Raw genomic sequence first — 19,746 nt, forward strand, 5'->3', positions numbered from 1 at the left:
GGTAGGATGCTAAAGAGACATTGAAATGGTGTAAGGTGATAGAAAACCATTCCCCTTGTAAAAACATGCTTATGAACACAGACCTGCTGCTTACTTATGCTACTATCTTGCCAAGTTACTTAGCTTCTTGGAGTCTGTAAAAAGGAGAACTACTAGTGCCTGCTTCCTGCAACTGTTGAAAAGATTAAATGAAACTATAGGTCTAAGTGCCTGGTATATTGCCTTGCCCATGATAGGAGCTCAATAAATGTGGGTCACCATCATCGTCACCAAATTCCTGGACAAGTCAGAAAATGGCCTTGCCACCTCTTCCTACGTGTTCTTGGTGAAACCTGTAACCTCTCAGGACCTCATTTTTCCTTATCTGTAAATTACAGGTACTCAACCAGCTCAGGAATTGCAAATTGGTGGCCTGCTAGATAAAATCTAGCCTGCAAACATGTTTGTTTATCTAATGTAATAAACTAAAAATCAAGAAATAGCCCCTAGAAATCTGAATTTTCCAGCTGCTCTTTGAAAAATGAACATCTAGTTCCATTGGCCCTCACTTGGCAACAGTTGGCTGGAGCTGGGGTAGCAGCTGCCCCTCACATGGGCATGCATGCACTCGCCTCTCCCCCAGCCATCATATTTCTGCAGTGCCTTACACCTGGCCACTCCCCCTTCACAACATACATAAGCAGCTGAGTTTCCAACGTCTGGATTGGAAGGTTTCAGGAATTCTGTGGCTTTCTCCTGGTTCTGACACTGGCTCATTCCATGACCCTGAGTGTACTCCTTCACCTCTCTGGACTACCACATCACCGTCTATAAAACGAATGAGTTGAGCTTCCAGACTCAGCTTTCTTTGGGTCTTCTATTCAGTTCATAAACATTTACTGAGTTGCTCCTATTTCCAGGAATTCTAAAAAGCACGTGGGAGGATACAGAGATGAATAAAAATGGGTCTGGCCCAGAGATGTTTTATAGCAATGCCTCTCAAAATGTAGTCTGCAGACCAGCACCAGTTCACAATGAGATAGATAGGGGAATTGAGGATAGTTGTTCAGAAACTTTTGTTGTAGTTTGATATTGCCATGACAGCCAGGTGCATGCTCAGTAGACTTATCTTGTTGAATAGACATAGAGCAGTTCACATGCTGTCAGGCTCGTGTGGTGAATTGCATGTGACACAAGCTGCACACTTGTTTCAGTTACTATTGGTGCTTAACAAATTGCCCCCAAACTTAGTGGCTTTAAAAGAACAACAGTCATTCATTTCTTCAAATCTACAATTTGAGCAGGACTTTGCAGAACACTTTATCTCTGCTGCACACAGCGCCTGCCAGGTGGGTCAGCAGGGGCCACAGCATCCACTTCCAAGATGGCTCATTCGCATGACTGGTGAGGTGGTGCTGGCTGTCAGTTCCTTTCCATGTCGACCTCTCCATAGAGGAGCTTCTTCATAGCATGGTGGCTGGGATCCAAGAATGAATGTCCCAAGAGAACAAGGAAAATGTGCCTGGCACTTTTATGATCTAGTCATGTAGAAATCAGAAGTCACTTTGCATCTCTGCTGCCAAACTCTATTGATTGAAGCATTCACAAAGGTTTGCCCAAGTTCAAAGGCAGAGGATGGAAATTCCATCTCTCAGTGAGCTTGTGGAAAGGTTGTAGAAGAGCACAAGGGACAGAAGATTTCATTGCAGCTAGCCTTTGAAAATACAATCTGCCATACTATTGAGAAGTATATCATGTTCCTGTTGCTGTGTAACAAGTCGCTACATATTTAGTGGCTTAAAACAATAAGAATTTATTAGTTCAGAGTTTTACAGGTCATGAGTCTAACTAAGCTGACTAAACAGGAGTTTCTGCTTAGGGTCTGACAAGGCCAAAATCAATGTTTCAGCCAGGCTGGGCTCTTATCTGGAGGCTCTGGAGAAGAGTCCACTTCCAGACTCATTCAGGGTGTTGGCAGAATTCAGTTTTTTGCAGTTCAGGATTGAGGCCCCTGGTTTTTGTGCAGGCCAGGGGTTGCTGTCTGTTCCTAGAGGCTACCCATACATGGCCCCCTTGATCTACAAAACCAGCAATGCCATATTTAATTCTTCTCTCTCTTCAAATCACTTTGACTTCCTTCAGTACCGCCAGATGGAGAAAGCTCTCAGCTTTTTGTGTGTGATTAGGTTAAGTCGACCTGGATAATCTCCTTTTTGCCATATAACTTGATGTAATCACAGGAGTGATATCTCATCATATTCACAGGTTCCATCTCCACTCAAAGGGGAGGGGATTATAGGAGGATGAAGGTCATTGGAAGTCATTCTTAGAATTCTGCCTACCACAGATGGTTTCATTCACAGTGAATTAGAAATTGAAGTGGTTCTTCATTACAGATAGTTTAAAAACACTAGTTTAGAGTCCAGTAAGAGGGAATAACATGTATATAAATGGCTATAGTTTAAGACTTTAAGTGGTAACTTCCAAAAAGAGAGAGGCAGACAGAGTGCAGTGAGAGGTCAGTGGAAGGGAGATTATTTTGTAAGCGGAGCGGGGATAGAAGTGGGGCCTCTTGAAGATGTGGTGTTTGAACTGAACCTCAGAAGATAGGTGTTGTTTGGATCTTAAAAAATGAGGTGGGAGGACAAGATACAAACAGTTCTGTTTCTATTTTGGCACCTTAGCTTGCAAACACAGAACGGAACTGAATCCTCTCTAAGGTCATTTGATTCCTCCTTACCATAAACAATGCTGTATAACAAATTACTCCAAAGCTCAGTGACCTCAAACAACAACCATATGTTGTTGCTCAAAGGACTACACATCAGTCGGGTGGTTTCTCTGGCCTTGGCTGTGCTGACTCATGTATCTCTGGTCAACTGGGGCTGGGCTGGGCAGCTCTGCTAAACTTGGCTGGGGTCTCTCATATCCTTGGGGCTTGGCTCTCTGTCAGCTGTCTAGGATTACCTCAGTTCTTCTCCACATGTCTTATCTTCTGCTTGCCTCTAACATCTTTCTAGCATACTAGGCTGGGTTTGTTCTCATAGAGGAGGAAGAAGGATGAGAAATAAGTATGAAAGAGTACAAGTCTCTCGAAGCTTGGACTCAAGCTGGCACACTGTCACTTCTACCTCATTCTTTTGGCCAAGGCAAGTCACAGAGCCAGACCAACTTCAATAGGTGTGGAAAGAGACCCACTTTTGATGGGAGGAGCTGCACAATCCCTTTGCAAAGGGCCTGGGATGGAGGATTGAGACCACTTTCACAATCTACTATAGTAATCCTGAGAAATCTTCCTAAACTCTAGAATGAAAGAAATTCAAATGCATTGTTTCTCAAGCTAAGCCAAGGCTTTTGGAGAAATCTGCATGTAATAAACCATTTGGAAAAGGTACAGTGACCCATAAACCAGAGTTATCAGAAGCCAGGCTTATAAAATAGTCTACAGTCTTCTTTGTGAGTGAAAGACAAAAGAGGAGTATTTCAGGGCAACTTTATTACCTTTACTCATGTGGTACTCATTATCAACACCCAGCCCCGGTGCTCCTCTGCAAAACTGTTCCCAGAACCATTCTTCTGGCTTCTGAGAATTTGTGGTTCTTCTCCCAGGTCCCAGTAGCAGTTTTTGAAATGAAAGGATCTCCAATCTGTCCTGTATCATAGACATAAATCATTGTCTTTTATGATATTCCCTGGAGTACCTAACCTAAGGCCAAAAAAATAGTAATTGCACAATAAACATGTTTTAGGTGAATGGATAGATGGATGAATGGATGAATGAGTGGACCAGATGGGTGACGGATGCTTCAGAAATTGACTGAAACCTTCCTTTGGAAAATGTTAACATAAACTTTATTTCCCTCCTTCCAAGTTAGTATGTCAGTTTGAAATCTTGGTGTAGTTGTTTCATGTCTGTGAGCTTTTTTAAAACAAAACAAAACTGGATTGCACACTGCCAAGGGGAAGAATCATGTTGTATTCTCCCTCATCAACCCAATCTTATAAGCATCAAAAAAGTCTGTGAGCTTCCTAGGGTATTAATCATTGTCTAGTGGGTGGGGGTAGATGAGTGGTTGTTGGAGTTGGGGACTTCTAGTCAAATAAACTTGTGAAATGCTGGATTAAACAAAGTTAGACAGCTTTCTTTTCTGTGTGACTTCAAAGAGCCTTTAATATGCTAATATACTTTATGAATCACCAGAAGGGTATTAGAATATGTAAGAGTTGAAAATGAGAAGAATTGGCTTTTTTAGAGGGGAGGAGAAGGGAGGTATTTTTTTATTGTGCTAAATGAATATAATAGTTGTCATTTTAACCATTCATAAGTGTACAATTGTGTGGCATTAAATATGTTCACAATGCTATGTAACCATTACCACTATCTATACCCAATTTTTTAATGATTCCCAACAATAACTCCCTGTAAACAACAATCCCCGTTCTTACTCCCCTGTAACCTCTGTTCTACTTTCTGTCTTTATGAGTTTGCCTATTCTAGGTACCTCATATAAGTGGAATCATACAATGTATGACCTGCTGTGTCAGGCTTGTTTCACTAAGCATAATATGGTCAAGGTCTATCCATGTTGTAGTAGATATCAAAATTCCATTCTTCTTTATGACTTAATAATATTCCATTTTATATATATGTCACATCTTGTTTCTACCTTCATCTATTAATGGACACTTGAGTTGTTGCTACCTTTTGCCTATTGTGGTAATGTGACTATTATGAACATTGGCCTAGGAATGTCTGTTTGAGTCCCTGCTTTCAGTTCTTTTAGATACATACCTAAAATGGAATTGTTGGATCATATGGTAGTTCTACATTTAACCTTTTGGAAACCACAAAAGTTTTTAACAGCAGCTGCACCATTTTGCATGTTTACTAGCAGTGCACAAAGGTTTCAATTTCTCCACCCACATCCTCACTAACACTTGTTGTTTTCCACTTTTTAAATTATAGCTAGCCTAGCAGGTGTAAAATGATATTTAATGCTAGTTTTTGTTGTTGTTGTTGTTGTTGTTGTTTTGTTTTTTTTTTTTTTTTGAGATGGAGCTTTGCTCTTGTTGCCCAGGCTGGAGTACAATGGCACGATCTCGGCTCACCACAACCTCCGCCTCCCAGGTTCAAGTAATTCTCCTGCCTCAGCCTCCCAAGTAGCTGGGAGTACAGGCATGCACCACCACACCCAGCTAATTTTGTATTTTTAGTAGAGACGGGGTTTCACCATGTTGGCCAGGCTGGTCTCGAACTCCTGACCTCAGGTGATCCACCTGCCTCGGCCTCCCAAAGTGCTAGTATTACAGGCATGAGCCTCCGCACCTGGCTTAATGGTAGTTTTGATTTGCCTTTCCCTGTAGTGACATTGTGTACTTGACTCACTGCAGCCTCAAACTCCTAGGCTCAAGCAATCCTCCCATCTCATCCTCCCAAGTAGCTGGGACTATAGGAATGTGCCACCACACCTGACAAATTTTTTTTTTATTTTGTTTTTATAGAGATGGGGTCTCACTGTGTTGCCCAGGCTGGTATGAGTTCTTTATGCATTCTGAATATGTCCTTAATCAAATACGTGTTTTATGCAGTATGGAAGTTCCTCAGAAAGCTAAAAATAGAACTGCCATATAATCCAGCAATCCCACTTCTGGGTATATATCCAAAGAAAAGGAAATCAGCCTGTCAAAGAGACATCTGTACTCTCATGTTTATTGCAGCAAGATAAGGAATCCACCTAAGTATCCATCAGCAGATAAATGGATAAAGAAAATGTGGTATATATACAAAATAGAATATTTTTCAGCCATAAAAAAGAATGAAATTATGTTATTTGCAGCAACATGGATGAAACTGGAGGTAGTTATGTTAAGGGAAATAAACCAGGCACAGAAAGACAAATATCGCATATTCTCACTCATACGTGAGAGCTAAGATAGTTGACCTCATAGAAGTAGAGAGTAGAATAGTGGTTACTAGAGACTGGGAAGGGAATGGGTAGAGGAGATAGGAAGAGGTAGGTTAATGGATACAAAATTACAGCTTAGATAGGACTAAGTTCTAGTGTTCTATAGCACTGTAGGATGACTGTAGTAAACAATAATTTATTGTATTTTTTCAAATAGCTAGAAGAGAGGATTTTGAATGTTCCTAACACAAAGAAGTGATCAAGGTTTGAGGTGATGGATATGCTAATTACCCTAATTTGATCATTATACATTATATGCAGGTATCAAAATATCATTTTGTACCCTATAAGTATGTACAATTATTATGTGTCCATTAAAAATATTATTTTAAAAGATACATGTTTTGCAAATATATTCTCCCAGTTCATGGCTTGTCCCTTAAACAACCGAAGTTTTCAATTGTGATGAATTCCAACTTATTCATATTTTATTGCAGTTTGTGTCCTCTTTAAGAAACCTTTGCCTAAACCAAAGTCACTAAGATTTTCTCACATACTTTCTTCTACAAATTTTATAGTTTTGGCTCTTACACTTAGGTCTATGATCTATTTCAAGTTTATATCATGTAGGGTGTGAGGAAGTGTGAGGTGTATTTTTTTGACATATGAATATCTAATTGTTTGGACACTATTTGTTGAAAAGTTATCCTTTACCTATTGAATTTTCTTAGTGCCTTTGTTCAAAAACAACTGAATGCATATAGTTATGAGCTGTCCACTCCATTGATCACATATCTGTCCTTACCTTAGGGCCACTCTCTGTTGGTCACTGTATCCCAGGAGTGCCTTGAAATTAGGACATGTAAGTCCTCCAACTTTGCCCCTCTTTTGAAAAAGAATTATTTTGGCATTTTTCCAGGTCTGTTGAATATCAGTTTCTATAAAGAGTAACTTGAGTTGATAGATCAATTTTGAGAGGACTCACATTTTAACAATATTGAGTCTTCTGACCAATAAACATGACATATCTCTCCATTTATTTAGATCTTTGATTTCTGTAGCAGTGTTTTGTAGTTTTCAGTGTATAGGTCTTACACATTTTGTTAAATGTATCTCGACTATTTGATATTTTTGACACCATGGAAATCAGTATTTTAACATCAGTTTTCGATGTTTCATTGATAGTATTTAGAAATAAAATTGATTTTTGTATATTGACCTTATATCTTTTGACGTTGCTAAACTCATCAGCTCTACTAGCTTTTTTGTAGATTCCTTAGCATTTGTTTTATAGATAATCATGTCATGGGCAGATATTATTTTGATCCCCATTCTACCATCAAATAATGGAGACCTGGAAAGACAAGGGGACCTGCCTAAGGTCCTGCTCTTCATAAATGCACAGCCAGGAAACTGAAGCCTGTGTCTTTTGGGTCCTCCTTCAAGGACCTCTCCACACCCTAACCTAAGCTAAGCTGTTCCTCAGTCTTTCAAGCCTGAAGAGAAGAATCTTATATTGGTTACGATTATATTTGAATGGTTCAAACAAGATAGTGTATTTTTCTCTCACTTCAAAGTCTGAAGGTTTGAAGTCCAGGACTAGTATCATAGTTCTGCCCCCTGAAGTCCTCAAGAACCTGTACTCCCTTCTGATGGCTTCAGCCATCCCTAGGGCATGGAGGCACCTCGTGGTCCATCATGGTGGCCTTTGCATTCTAGGCAGCAAGATAGAGGAAGGGATAAACAAGAAAGGCAAAAGTGCACATTAGTAGTTTTTTCTGGTAAGTTCCATGAGGCTGGCTCGTAACCTGTTTTGTGCTATAATAACAGATGCCAGAAACTAGATAATGTATAAAGAAAAGAAGCGTATTTGGTCACAGTTCCTGAGGCTGGGAAGTCCGAGATCAAGGGTAGCATCAGGTGAGGGCTTTCTTGCTGCGATATAAGGTGGTAGAAAGCATCACATGGGTGAGAGAGATGGTTGGGACCAAATTCATCCTTTATAAGGATGCTGCTCTCACAGTAATTAACCCACTCTCTCCATAACAGCATTAATCCATTCGTCAGGGCAGAGCTCTCATGAGCTAATCACATCTTAAAGGTTCCACCTCCCAATACTGTTGCACTGGGGATTCAGTTTCCAACACACAAACTTTGGGGATCATGCTCAAACCATAGCAGGCTACCATGCAGCTCCTCCACTCGCCTCTCATTGACAGAACCCAATCAAGCCACATCTAGCTACAAGGATGTCAGGAAAATATCATCTTTATTCTGAGCAATCATATTCCCAGCTAAAATTCTTATTACTGTGGAAGAAAAGAACAGCTCCTAGGGGATATACAGCAATTTCTGCCACAAGCCTTAGTTAGGAATCCAGAAAGGAAACCATTTGAAAATGAAAGAAGGAAGAAGGTGGAAGAGTTCAAAGCCTGTTGCATCTTTTTAAAAATTATTTTAGGATCAGGTGAGCCAGCTCTCTTTTGAGCTTTGTAGCCCATTAAGTTGACCTGAAGCCATTTAGTCATAGGATAAAGTCAATCCTCAGAACCCTTTTATGGTATTAAATCTTTGGACTATATTAGACATGTCTAATCCTTGAGTGACCTTTCCTTCATCTGGAAAAGATAAAAGATGTCTCCACTCATTCATTCATTATTCATTCATTCAACAGAAATTGATGTCTTCTCATAGAGCTCACAATTTGGGGAGAGATAGACAATATTCAAATGATCATCCAAATGAATGTGAAGTCACAAAGGAGCAGTGAGGATGCTGTAAGGTCCCATATCAGGGGCAGTGATCTAGCCAGAGGGGTTAGGGAAGCTTGCCTGAGGGTTTAGATGATTCCTGTGGGAGCATCTGCATTCATAGCAGTTTGCTGTGGTCTGGGAAGACTGTCCTTTGTGCTCTCTTGTGGTTGCACCTCACACATCCTGCCTGGGACACCATATATCTAAGAAATCGTTATATAAGAACAAGAGAGGCTGGGCATGATGGCTCACGCCTGTAATCTCAGCACTTTGGGAGTCCCAGGTGGGACGATCACCTAAGGCCAGGAGGTTGAGACCAACCTGGGCAACATAATAAGACCTCGTCTGTAAAAAAAAAAAAAAAAAAAAAAGCCAGGTGTGGTGGTGCATGTACCTGTAGTCTTAGTTTCTTGGGAGGCTGAGGCAGGAGGATTGCTTGAGCCCAGGAGGTCAAGGCTGGAGCTGCAGTGAGCTATCATCATGCTACTGCAAGCCAGCCTGGGCAGCAGAGCAAGATCCTATCTCTTAAAAAAAATAAATAAATAAAAACAAGAATACCAGAGTGACAGAGTGAGAGTGAGGTGGGATAGGTAAGGGGCTGGGTGCTGCCCAGGAGATTCAGAGCCTTTTGTGGCCTCCACCCTAAGAGAAACAAAGAAGAAGAGTTCAGAGAGTTCTCAGTTTCCAAGATGGGAGATGGAGGAGGCCAACATCATTGTCCAGGCAGAGACTTTCCTCCTGGGCCAGGAAGGAGTCCAAAGAGGAGGGGACTACCATCAGTCACATGTTGCTTCCCCATGCCCCTACCCCTCTCCCCCTCTTGGGGGACCTTTGCAAGCAGTGAGCAGCCAGCCAGCCCAAAGAGCCAAGATTGTGGAAATCAACCAGTGGGTCATTGTCTACCAGGTGTACTTGGAAATTCACTCTTCCAGCTTAAGGCAGCTGTGGCAGATGGGTCCTGTCCCCTGACCAATGCCAGCTGATGGGTAAGCGCTGCTTGGAGCACAGTGTTGAGAAAGATTCTCAAAGTCTGGGATCCACAAGGAAGGATATTACAATAGGTTGGTGATGTCTGCTTTTACCCTGGTGCAACTGAGAGGAAGGAATGGGACATAAATATAAAAATGCTTTGTAAATTATAAAATACTACCAAATAGTAACTAATAATGGTAGCTAGCATTGCTAGTGCTTTCTAGATACCAAACACTGCTAAGAGCTATACTTGCTGCATCTCATTTAATCCTCATAATAACCTTTATGCTAGGTACTATTAATTTCCCCCATTTTACAGTTGGGAAACCAAGGCTTGTGAAAATAGCGTAACTTGCCCAAGATCACAGAGCTAATAAACAGAACTGTGGCACAAGCCTAGGCATTTCTGATGCCAAAGCAGATGGTCTTCTTCACTTTGGTCTGCTGTCTTCAGAATGTAGGGGATTATGATTATAATTATTACTATTATTAGAGCAAGTACTTTATTACTGCGTGGCTCAACCCTACTTACCCAGCTAGGAGATTAATAGGATGTGTTTGCAGTCATTTTTTAGTCTCTCTCTGAAAAGTAGGAACTTGCCTTCTGATGAGCTTTCCAGTTCCTTTTTTTCTTTTTACCCATCCACAGCTGCTGTGCAGAGCAATATTGCAGCCCTTGCTCCTGCCCAGCCCGTCAAGCCTCTAAGAAGAGCACTTTCTAGGGGCTTTCCTGTGATTGATCACACATCAGCTAGACTGAGATTTTCAAAACCTCTTGTGAATTGCCCTCTTGGTACAGAAGTATGATTCATCTCAGCACGTTTTCCATATTTGAGGGCTATGTTCCTGCAGCCTTTCTAGATACTGAGTTTGGGAAGGAATGGGCAGGTACATGTGGTAGGTGCTATTAGCTGTGATGATTACACTCATGTGGTGGTTGGCAGTTTGCAAAACGCTTTCATATCGATTTTCTCTCCAAGCCTCAGTTTTGTCATCTACAAAGTGGATATAATGACGATAATAATATAGTCAAGTCTAATCTCATGAAAGAGTTAGGCTATAATAAACCCACCACTTAAGGTGAAAATAACACAAAATCAGAATCACCCTTGACAATCGCTCATGGAATATGAAGACACACCACCTCTCAAAAGTCCAGTGTGGGCAGTTTTAAATCCAGCTTGAACACCAGTGATAACTGTTTCTTTGGTTGAAGTAATCACAGTGCCTTCTGAGGTAATGAAAATACTTATCTTCCTAGAGTAGGCTCCCCCAGCACAGAGCGCTCACACTTCCAGGGGCCAGAGAGAACTGGGGCCTCCAGGGACACTGTGAGGGCAAAGGCACACTCTGCATGAGCACGGGAGGCTCACCACCACCCTTGTAGGATTTCTCTCTTCTTTCTTGACTATGTGTCACTGAATTCTTGAAGGTGAAATAGACATAAAATCCTATCTCATTAGGTCTGATCTCCTGACTTGCTTTCTATGGACAGTATTGAAACTTAAAAGTAACATGTGATGACACAGACACCAGGCTAGGTGAGGGGAGAGCTGGGCTCAGGTCCCAGGTGGGTTTCACCTGCATCTGTGGGACTATTGATATCCAGCTCTTACAGATGAACTTCTCACCTGACTGTCCAAGTTCTCAGGCTCTATTTCTTGACTCAAACCCACAGGACCCTAGTAACCCTATTTTTAAAAAAAATCTGTGTGTGCCCACCCCTACTTCTGCCTTCCCAGCATAAGCTAACATCATCTCTGCCTGCACCACTGTGATAGCCTCCTTCCCAGCCTCCACCCCTCCTCTTGGCCTCCTAATCCCTTTTCCACTTGGCTACAAGAGAGCTTTCCAAATGCAACCTGATCTTATCACCTCCTTATAGAAAACACTTGTATTTCTAAATGCTCCTGGAGGAAAGACAGAATCCTCACCCCTGTCCACCTCTCATTCCTACCAGACTTTCCCTGCTTCTCTGTGCACCACACACACTGCTCTTCCAGGCCCTCCTATGATTCATGTTTGCTCAGCCACAGAATCTTTGCATATCTTTACTTTTCCCTCTGTCTGGAATGCTGTGTACTCCTCTTTCTACTGAGTTAACCTGTAATCCAATTTTCTCAAGAAAACCTTGCAGGCTGGATCAGATCCCCCCAGTCTGATCTGAAAGAAAGGGACTATCTTTGTACCATGTACCCCTCTTTTATGGCCTGCCACTGTAGCTTTTTTAATTTACCTGTAGTTTCGGATGAAAGTCTACATTTCCCCACCACCACACATACTTCTATAAGCTCTATGAGAGTAGGACCCCGTCCGTCTTCCTCACCAGTATATCCTCAGCACCTAGCACAAGGCTTGATTTGTGCTTGTGTTCATCATACACTTAAGTTGATGGACAGATGGACAGACAGACAGATGGACAGATGGATTGATAGGTAAGAGACTCAGATGAACATTATCAAATTATTGATCAGAGTCGATTTGTTTTTTTTTTTTTTTCCCAGTGATAAAACATTTGGGCACTTATCCTGAAGAAAGTGTTGAAATTGTTCTTTTAGAATGGAAGGGAAAAGCTACTGAAGGTTCTATTTGCCCTTTAGATAACAGACATTCCAAAGTATCTTGGCTTTTTTTTCTCCCTGCTGTTTAAAAAATCTTTTAATGAGCTTTCATGCCTTACGTAGCAAATGACCTTTTCTAGAGCCACCTACACCAAACAAAGGAATTGGAGGGTTGATATGGTTCTGCCCTTGGAAACACAGGATCAGCCCTTTGAAACAATGGCTCCTATCTGTGAGTGACCTTCCCCTCTTAGAGAAGGGCCAGATTTCAGATTTCAGCATCCTGGTGTTGAGACAATGGAGTTACTGGAGTGGGGACAACAGACACAGCCCCATTGCTGATTGGAACAGCAGGACTTGCCTGACGTGGGCCCAGCAGACATAGACTCGTGGTTGCTGGGTTGTAATGCCTCCTTCCATTCATAAATAGTGCCATTCAGGTTTGATTGTTTTCTCATACAGCTTGGTCCTGGTTATAGTGAAAGTTAAGTTTTCTCAAAACAGCAGCCTACTGAATAGGTGCTAGGGTTAGGTCAGCCTCACTTAAGTCTGACTGTGGGGTACCAGAATGAATGATCCTCAGCCTATGAAAAGGGGACATTTTCTCTGAATGAAAACAAAATCATCTTTCTCCTTGCATTTCTCATGGGAGGAGGAGGATTCTGAGATTAATTGAAAGTGGAAAGGTAGTAACGTATTTTATTCTTGGAGTTCTACTTCAGCCTGTTCCTTGCTCAAAGGCTTACTGTGGCTGCCCACCTGCCAAGCAGCTCAAATGTAAGGCCCTCCAATTCTGGTCCAGACTTCCTTCCTGGTCTTATTGCTCGTGACTCACTTTTGCATCCTGCTCACTCCAGCCAAATCAGGCTCCTTGCCCTTAAGTAAATATGCCCTTCACTTTCTAACTCGCATTCTTTCCACATACTTTCCCTCTAGCTGGATTCCACCCCCAACCCCCACCCCTCAACTGCTACCAGTTAAAATCCTACCCCTTCTCTCAGGTTCCTGTCAAAGACTCTGCTTCTGCAGGAATTCTTCCCCGATCGTCCCAGGTAGAATTTAATTTTTGGCTTTTGTAAATATCTATCGAATTTATCTGTACAGCTTTCAAGGCACTATGTTATAGGCTTGTATGTGTGTATGTGTGTTTTCCTTCCTTAAATACTTGTCTCATAGCTGTTTGTGGAGGCCATGGACTACCTTGTTCATCTTTGTCTCTCCCAGAGGTCTTTGGCCATAGTAGGCCCTCAATAATCATTGTTTGGATGAATGAATTAATAAAAACAATCCAGCTTATGTCCTCAAAACTCATGAAGAAAGTACATTTATCTAATTGTCCAAACTCCCTTGTTTAAACTTTATATGCTTTGAGCTAAATTAAGCCCTACCTGGTCCTCTTTGAAGGTAATCTTGAAGAAATTGCTTTGCTGTGTGTGTGTGTGTGTGTGTGTGAGAGAGAGAGAGAGAGTGTGCATGTGTGTGCATGTGTGTGTGTGTGAGAGAGAGAGAGAGAGAAGTTTATTAATCTACTTGGTAGATAAACAGATGTTTGAAATGATATAGTTATTTAAACCTCAAAGCAAAATCATTTCATTGCCTTTGTAGGGTTCTTTGAGAGGAAGGTGGAGGGGAGCCATCCTAAAATTTGCAGCAGAGCCTGGTCTCTAACACAGCCTCAGACTGTGGATGAAGCAGATGACCTGCTCAGCTTTCCTTCCAACATTGCTGTTTGAGCGCATACAGCCCTTTCCTTGTTTTGAAGACACTAGCCAGCTCAGCCAGAGATGCTCTTTGCCAAGTCTGCAGTCTTGGGATTAGAGTATGCACTTTAACAAATCTTCCTTCTTGAGCAGAATGTAGTTGGCTTGCTTCACCACCATTCTTTCCTACCTCCAAAGGCTGCCAGGCCTGCTAAATAGTGATTAAACAAAGATTAAAATTCCATTTGTGTGTGTGTGTGTGTGTGTGTGTGTGTGTGTGTTTGAACACTAATCGATTCTTTTAGTGGAATGTTAAGTAAAAGCATGCAGATACCAGAAGCAGTTATTTAGAGCAGCCAGTCAAAATCCATTGCCAATTTATTATTTAATGTGATTTCCACATTGATTCTGCCAGTCTCCTCCACACACTCTCCCTCACTTCTTGCCATGTTCCTTCCTAACCCCTTTGCTTCCTGTAGCAGAAGGACATCTGGAAACCAAGAGAAAGCAAAGTAGCAAAAGATGGTTGTTGAAGGAAAATAATTACAGCTTTTGTAGACAAATCTTTGAGCTTACAGAATTAAAGAAACTTAAAATTACCTCTGGATTGAAAAATCCAGACGTGATCTTTTACATAATATTAAGTGATTGCTATTGCATAATTGCTGTCTTTTGAGAAGCAATGTTCCTGCCTTTTCTGTTGTTAATGGTCTTGTGGCATTTGTTTCTATTGTAGAATGCCACTATTAACTAAGACTTTTTTCTTTCCTTGAAGAACACTGTGTTTCGATGTGGGCATATGACATCCTGTTAATGAGGAAATTCTAAATCCTGTTATCAGCAAGAGCCAGTTGAATTGAATCAGGTGGTAGATAGGTTGCCTCTGCAGGACCCACAGTTTTCCTTATTAGTTTCCTGTTCGCTCTCCTATTCCTCCAAACATGGTTATCACAAACACTGGAACATACCGTGTTTTCATAAACTTTCCCTAAAAATAATGTATTCATAGTTGCTCACCTTTACTAGGAGAGGACCTAACTTTGTCCCAGACACTGGGACACTTTGTCCCGGATTAGCTCAGTTAATCCTCCCAACAGATACTCTTATTCTGTTAGTTTTCTCTATTTATCAGTCAGGGAAATTGGGCTCCACCTGCCCAGGAAGTAAAACCTAGGTTTTCCTAACTCTGGAACCAGAATGTTCCAAGTCATTAAACTAGACTACCTTTCCCATTGATGAGCATTCATTCATTCATTCAGCTGGTATTTTTCAAGGGCCTAAGATTAGTCAGGTATTGGCCTAGGAAAGTGCAGTGGTGTAATGCCCCTGCCTTCAAGAAGCTTACAGTCTATTCCAGGGAGAGAACTGCAAGCTCTGGTTTGGTCCTTGGGGCTGACAAGCTGTAGGATTTAGGGCAAGTCCATTCTACTCTGTTAGCCTCAGATTTCGTATCTGTAAAATGAGGCAGCTAGATTTAGACCAAAGGTCTTCCAACTTTATTGTGAATTAGAATCACATGGAGAATGTGTTTTCTAAAAAAGGTATCTTCCTGGGCTCCTATCTGTAGACATTTTTACTTAGTAGGTTCAGGGTGTGAGTCCAGGAATTTGCATCTATAATAAGGGCCCAGGTTCTCCAAGAACCACCTTTTGAAAGAGACTGATCTTTCTGTAAACCTCATTAGGCCTACACAGTATCTGTGCTGTCAAACCTGAATCCCTGGTGCCTGACACACTGCTTTGTACAGAGTAGGTGTCAGTAAACATTTGGTGATAGTTTAGATGATCTGGGGTTTCTTAATCTGCACTATCTCTAGAAATTCCATGGATTGTCCTCAGAGGCTCCTAAACCACCTGAAATTGACCACAATTTCCATTAAGGTTTTTGGATAGGATTCTTAGGGCCCTTCAGGCTCCATGTACTCTGTAATTTTTTTTTTTTTTTTTTGAGACGGAGTCTCACTCTGTTGCCCAGGCTGGAGTGCAGTTGCACAATCGCGGCTCACCACAACCTCTGCTTCCTGAGTTCAAGTGATTCTACTGCCTCAGCCTCCCAAATAGCTGGGATTATAGGTGTGTGCCATGACACTCAGCTAATTTTTTTTTTTTTTTTTTTTTTTTTGTATTTTTAGTAGAGACACGGTTTCACCATGTTGGCCAGGCTGGTCTCAAACTGACCTCAAGTGATCCGCCCACCTCAGCCTTCCAAAGTATTGGGATTACAGGCGTAAGCCACCACACCTGACCAACTCTATAATTTTAAGACTGAAACTAGTTTTCCACCCTACTGAAGGCCCAGACCTATAACTGGGATACTTTTTAACCTATACAATAAAATTTGAGTTTTATATCTACATGATTTGGTGAGATGTCAATTTACAGTAGATTCTTAAAATCCTAAAGGAGTCAGTGTCCTCAATCCATGTGTAAATTAGGAGAGCGCTCAGGCTATACTGTTTGTGATTGTCTCCGTTCATCTGAAAGTACCTTTGGGCAGGTAGTGCTGTCTCCATTTTCCAGGTGGGAAAATTGAGGTACCTGTGACTCCTGTAGCTCATGCAAGGTCACACTCAAGGGTTCTTTCCCACTAAAAACTAACCTGGGAGTCAAAGGACATGGTTTTTATCCTCTTGCCTGCTGTGAGGCCTTGGTTGGGTAGCTTGGCTTGTTTGGACTTCAGTTCCTTTATCTGTAAGATGAGCGGAGGTGTACTAATTGTCTCTGAGCAGCTATTTAGCTCAGATGGCTGAGGACTCTAGCAGCTGCGTGCTTAGACATGTAGAACTCCCTGTGTCAGCAGGCTCCAAAGTCCTCCTGGTTTAGGGAAGGTATAAGGACCAATGAGACCTAAAACAGCATAGTTCATCTCTGCAGACCCTGGGAGGGAGGGATAGAGGGAGCAGTGTGCATCATAAGGCAAAGGCAGTGGAGTTAGGTATGAAACTCCCAGGATTTTGGAGCCTTAATTCTCAATGCCATCAGTTCAGCAATCCAGTGTTTCATTTTGAGAACATGATTCTAGGGGTTTACTTCTGTGAGGTCAAAACAGTGAGATTTATCCCTGTACCCCATTCCCAGTAGCACTGGAAGACTTTCACAAGCTTGTAGAGGAAATAGTATCCTTCATGGAATCTTAGACTCTTGAAGGGCCCTTTAAAGGTTGCCTAACCCTTGCTACTCAAAGTGTCTTTTTTGGCCCAGCAGCGTCAGCATCACCTGGGTTCTTGTTAGAAATGCAGAATCTCAGGCCCCGCCCTAGACCTACTGTGCCAGAATCAGCATTAACAAGATCCATGCATGATTCTCCTGCACATTAAAATTTGAGAAGCACTAGTCCCAACCCTGCACTTGATTCTTCTCCTTCACATCCTGATGAACACTCAATCTTTCTATTCCTGGCCACTTCTAATATCTTCTTCCAAATGGTTTTATTTCATCCTAGCAGCGACCCAACTTTTGGAATTTCTTCTCTGTCTGAGGCCCCTCAATCATTCAGTAACATCTACCATTGGCCCTTAGTGTAGCCTTAGGACTTCATGGAACAAAATAACTTCTCCCATGTCCTCCAGGGCTTCTTATCTCCTAGTCCTCATAGTTTCTAATCTTTCCCAACCAGGATACATTCCTGAATATCCCAGCATGTTTCAAGCTCACCAGGGCCAGGCAGGTAACAAAAATGAGATATGGGAGGCAGGTGAAATGCAATAAGGAATGGTAGGGACTGTGGCAAACTGGGGAGACGTGCCCCATCCACACAGCCCAGCTGATGAGCTGAGGGAAGTCAGCCCAGTACTGGCATGTCTTTTAGGTTTTCAAGAGAAGCCAAAAATCTTGATAAAACAATATGAAATCTCCCCATTTTCACACTAGAATTAAGAAAACCAAACCAAAACGAAAAGCACCTTGAAAGCCACCAGGTTGTTTGCCAGTGACCACATTTGGCCCACGGGCCTCAGGGTTTTGCAGCCTTCTATGATAATTATCTGCTCAACTTGATGTGACAACACAGATCAGGTAGGATTATCATCTGCTTCATTGTAGACCAGCAGTTCTCAAACCTCAGCGTGTATCAGAATCTCTTCGAGAGCTTGCTAAAACACGGATTGCTGGGCCCCATCCCCAGAGCTTCTGCTTCTAGAGGTCTAGGGTAAGACCCTGGGAATTTGCATTTCTGGCAAGTTCCCAGGTGGCACCCATCCTGTCCTCTTCAGATACAACACTTTGAACACCATGGCTTTAGTTTTGTGCCTTCCATTAAAAGATCCTCAGTTTGCAGAGCCTCTAGTCCCACCAGGGCTGAAGTAATCAACCAAAGTTTCCAATCTGTGGGCAGCAGAAGAGGAAAAAGAGATTGGGAGGGAGGGCTGGAGAAAGGAGAGCTAACTAGCCCCTAACTGATCAACCTTGACATCACAGAAGCAGAATATTACCTTGGGCAGGTTCCTGGCCTACCCCAAGGCTTGGTTTCTCTGTCTGTGGTATAGGGAAGTGGTCCTAGCTCAGCTTCCAGATATATTTGTTTGCTTGTGTAGGAAATTTGATATCTATTTATTTTTAGCAGAAGAGCTGTCTTCAAATGAAATCCCACATGGAACCCCAGTACATAAAACAGATGTGTTGTTGCTCTGATTGAAGAGCAGGCAGAGCAAGCCCCTACTCTCTGCCTTCCTCTTCCCAAGGCAGTGCCGGGGTCCCCTCCTGTAGAACTGTATCCTGAACTGATTAGATGGTTCCATAAGGACCTTCCAGCTCAGCTTCTGTGATTTCTAAGAATGCTGAGAACTGTTGAAAGCATGCCGCCTTAGTTTTTGTAGTTTTTTTTTCCCCTCTCTAACCAAGACATCTAGCACACCAACTTTCAGAATTATCTTCTTGCAATTCAGAGAGGTCTATAGGAGAAAGAATACAAAGGATTGTTATTATTACTAGAGCTGTTATAAAGATGTTGAGCCATTGTGGAAAACCTGCTAACACAGGGATCAGCCAGAGGCTTAATAAACAAGCGCAGGGACGATTTTATTCAGGGGGCTTCTTGTTAGCACTAATGTCCAGCACACCACACATCAGGGCCTTTGAAGTTAATTATATAGGAAATAGCACTATTGGATTCTGCCTGCCACAGTGGCAAGAACAAGTCTGCAAGATTTGTAATGGGCAAGGTGTTTCAGAAAGTATTTACATGAACATGGAAGATATGTAAGTAGCTGTGTGGTGCAGCATTACCTGGGGAAGGCTCTGGGCCTGGAGGCCTTTGACTTGACTGTTGGCTTGAGAAAGTATCAGGTTCCTTCTGCTGACCCCAGTCACTGGAATGCAGCCTCCTTTAATTAGGGAAACTGCTTCCTAATGGGCGCATGAGGGTGGGCTCACCTCCCCAGGTAAATGATAAATGCTGCCAAAGCCCAGCCCCTGGGGGCTGCTCTCTTGGGGCTGATATATATATATATATATATTTTTTTTTTCCTTTCAGCCATTCAATTGCTTCTTCATACATTCCATGCCCATTTGCCACATGTTTATTCTCTTTGGGTCTGGGCCCTCAAGACCATACAGATGTCCAAGACCTGCCATCTGCTTTTGCTTGCGGCACTCCTTCTCCTTGGGCCACACACAGCTTTGCCGTTCTTTACCCAAACATCACAAGTCAGTGCCCAGGATGTTTGTCTTGCCTGCCTCTCCTGTCGACCTGTCTGAGGCCCAGCCCAAATGCACTCAGGTCCATGAAACATTCTCCATTTCTCCCCAGTGGAACTGAACTCATGTAGTGCATTCTCTGAGCCCCTGCCCTATCCAAGCCACATGCAACTGTTGAGCATTTGAAATGGGTCTGAATCAGGATGAACACAAGTGTAAAATACACACTGGATTTCAAAGGC

At 42.3% G+C, this 19,746-nt stretch overlaps 1 protein-coding gene across 1 annotated transcript in view, besides 2 other annotated features; it reads left to right on the plus strand.

Moving 5' to 3' along the window:
• Window positions 1–19,746, plus strand: part of GALNT10 (polypeptide N-acetylgalactosaminyltransferase 10) — a 230,252-nt gene that overhangs the window by 83,559 nt on the left and 126,947 nt on the right. The window lies entirely within an intron of this gene.
• Window positions 2,688–2,737: an enhancer, noted in NCBI's record as "active region_23475". NCBI's record gives its function as "activates an Ori minimal core promoter by ATAC-STARR-seq in GM12878 lymphoblastoid cells {active_cell/tissue: GM12878}" and the evidence as "EXISTENCE:reporter gene assay evidence [ECO:0000049][PMID:35858748]".
• Window positions 11,398–11,692: a silencer, noted in NCBI's record as "tiled region #6269; K562 Repressive non-DNase unmatched - State 23:Low". NCBI's record gives its function as "represses a minimal TATA promoter and a strong SV40 promoter by Sharpr-MPRA in K562 cells {active_cell/tissue: K562}" and the evidence as "EXISTENCE:reporter gene assay evidence [ECO:0000049][PMID:27701403]".

This window comes from Homo sapiens, chromosome 5, assembly GCF_000001405.40.
Source record: "Homo sapiens chromosome 5, GRCh38.p14 Primary Assembly".
NCBI lineage: Eukaryota > Metazoa > Chordata > Mammalia > Primates > Hominidae > Homo > Homo sapiens.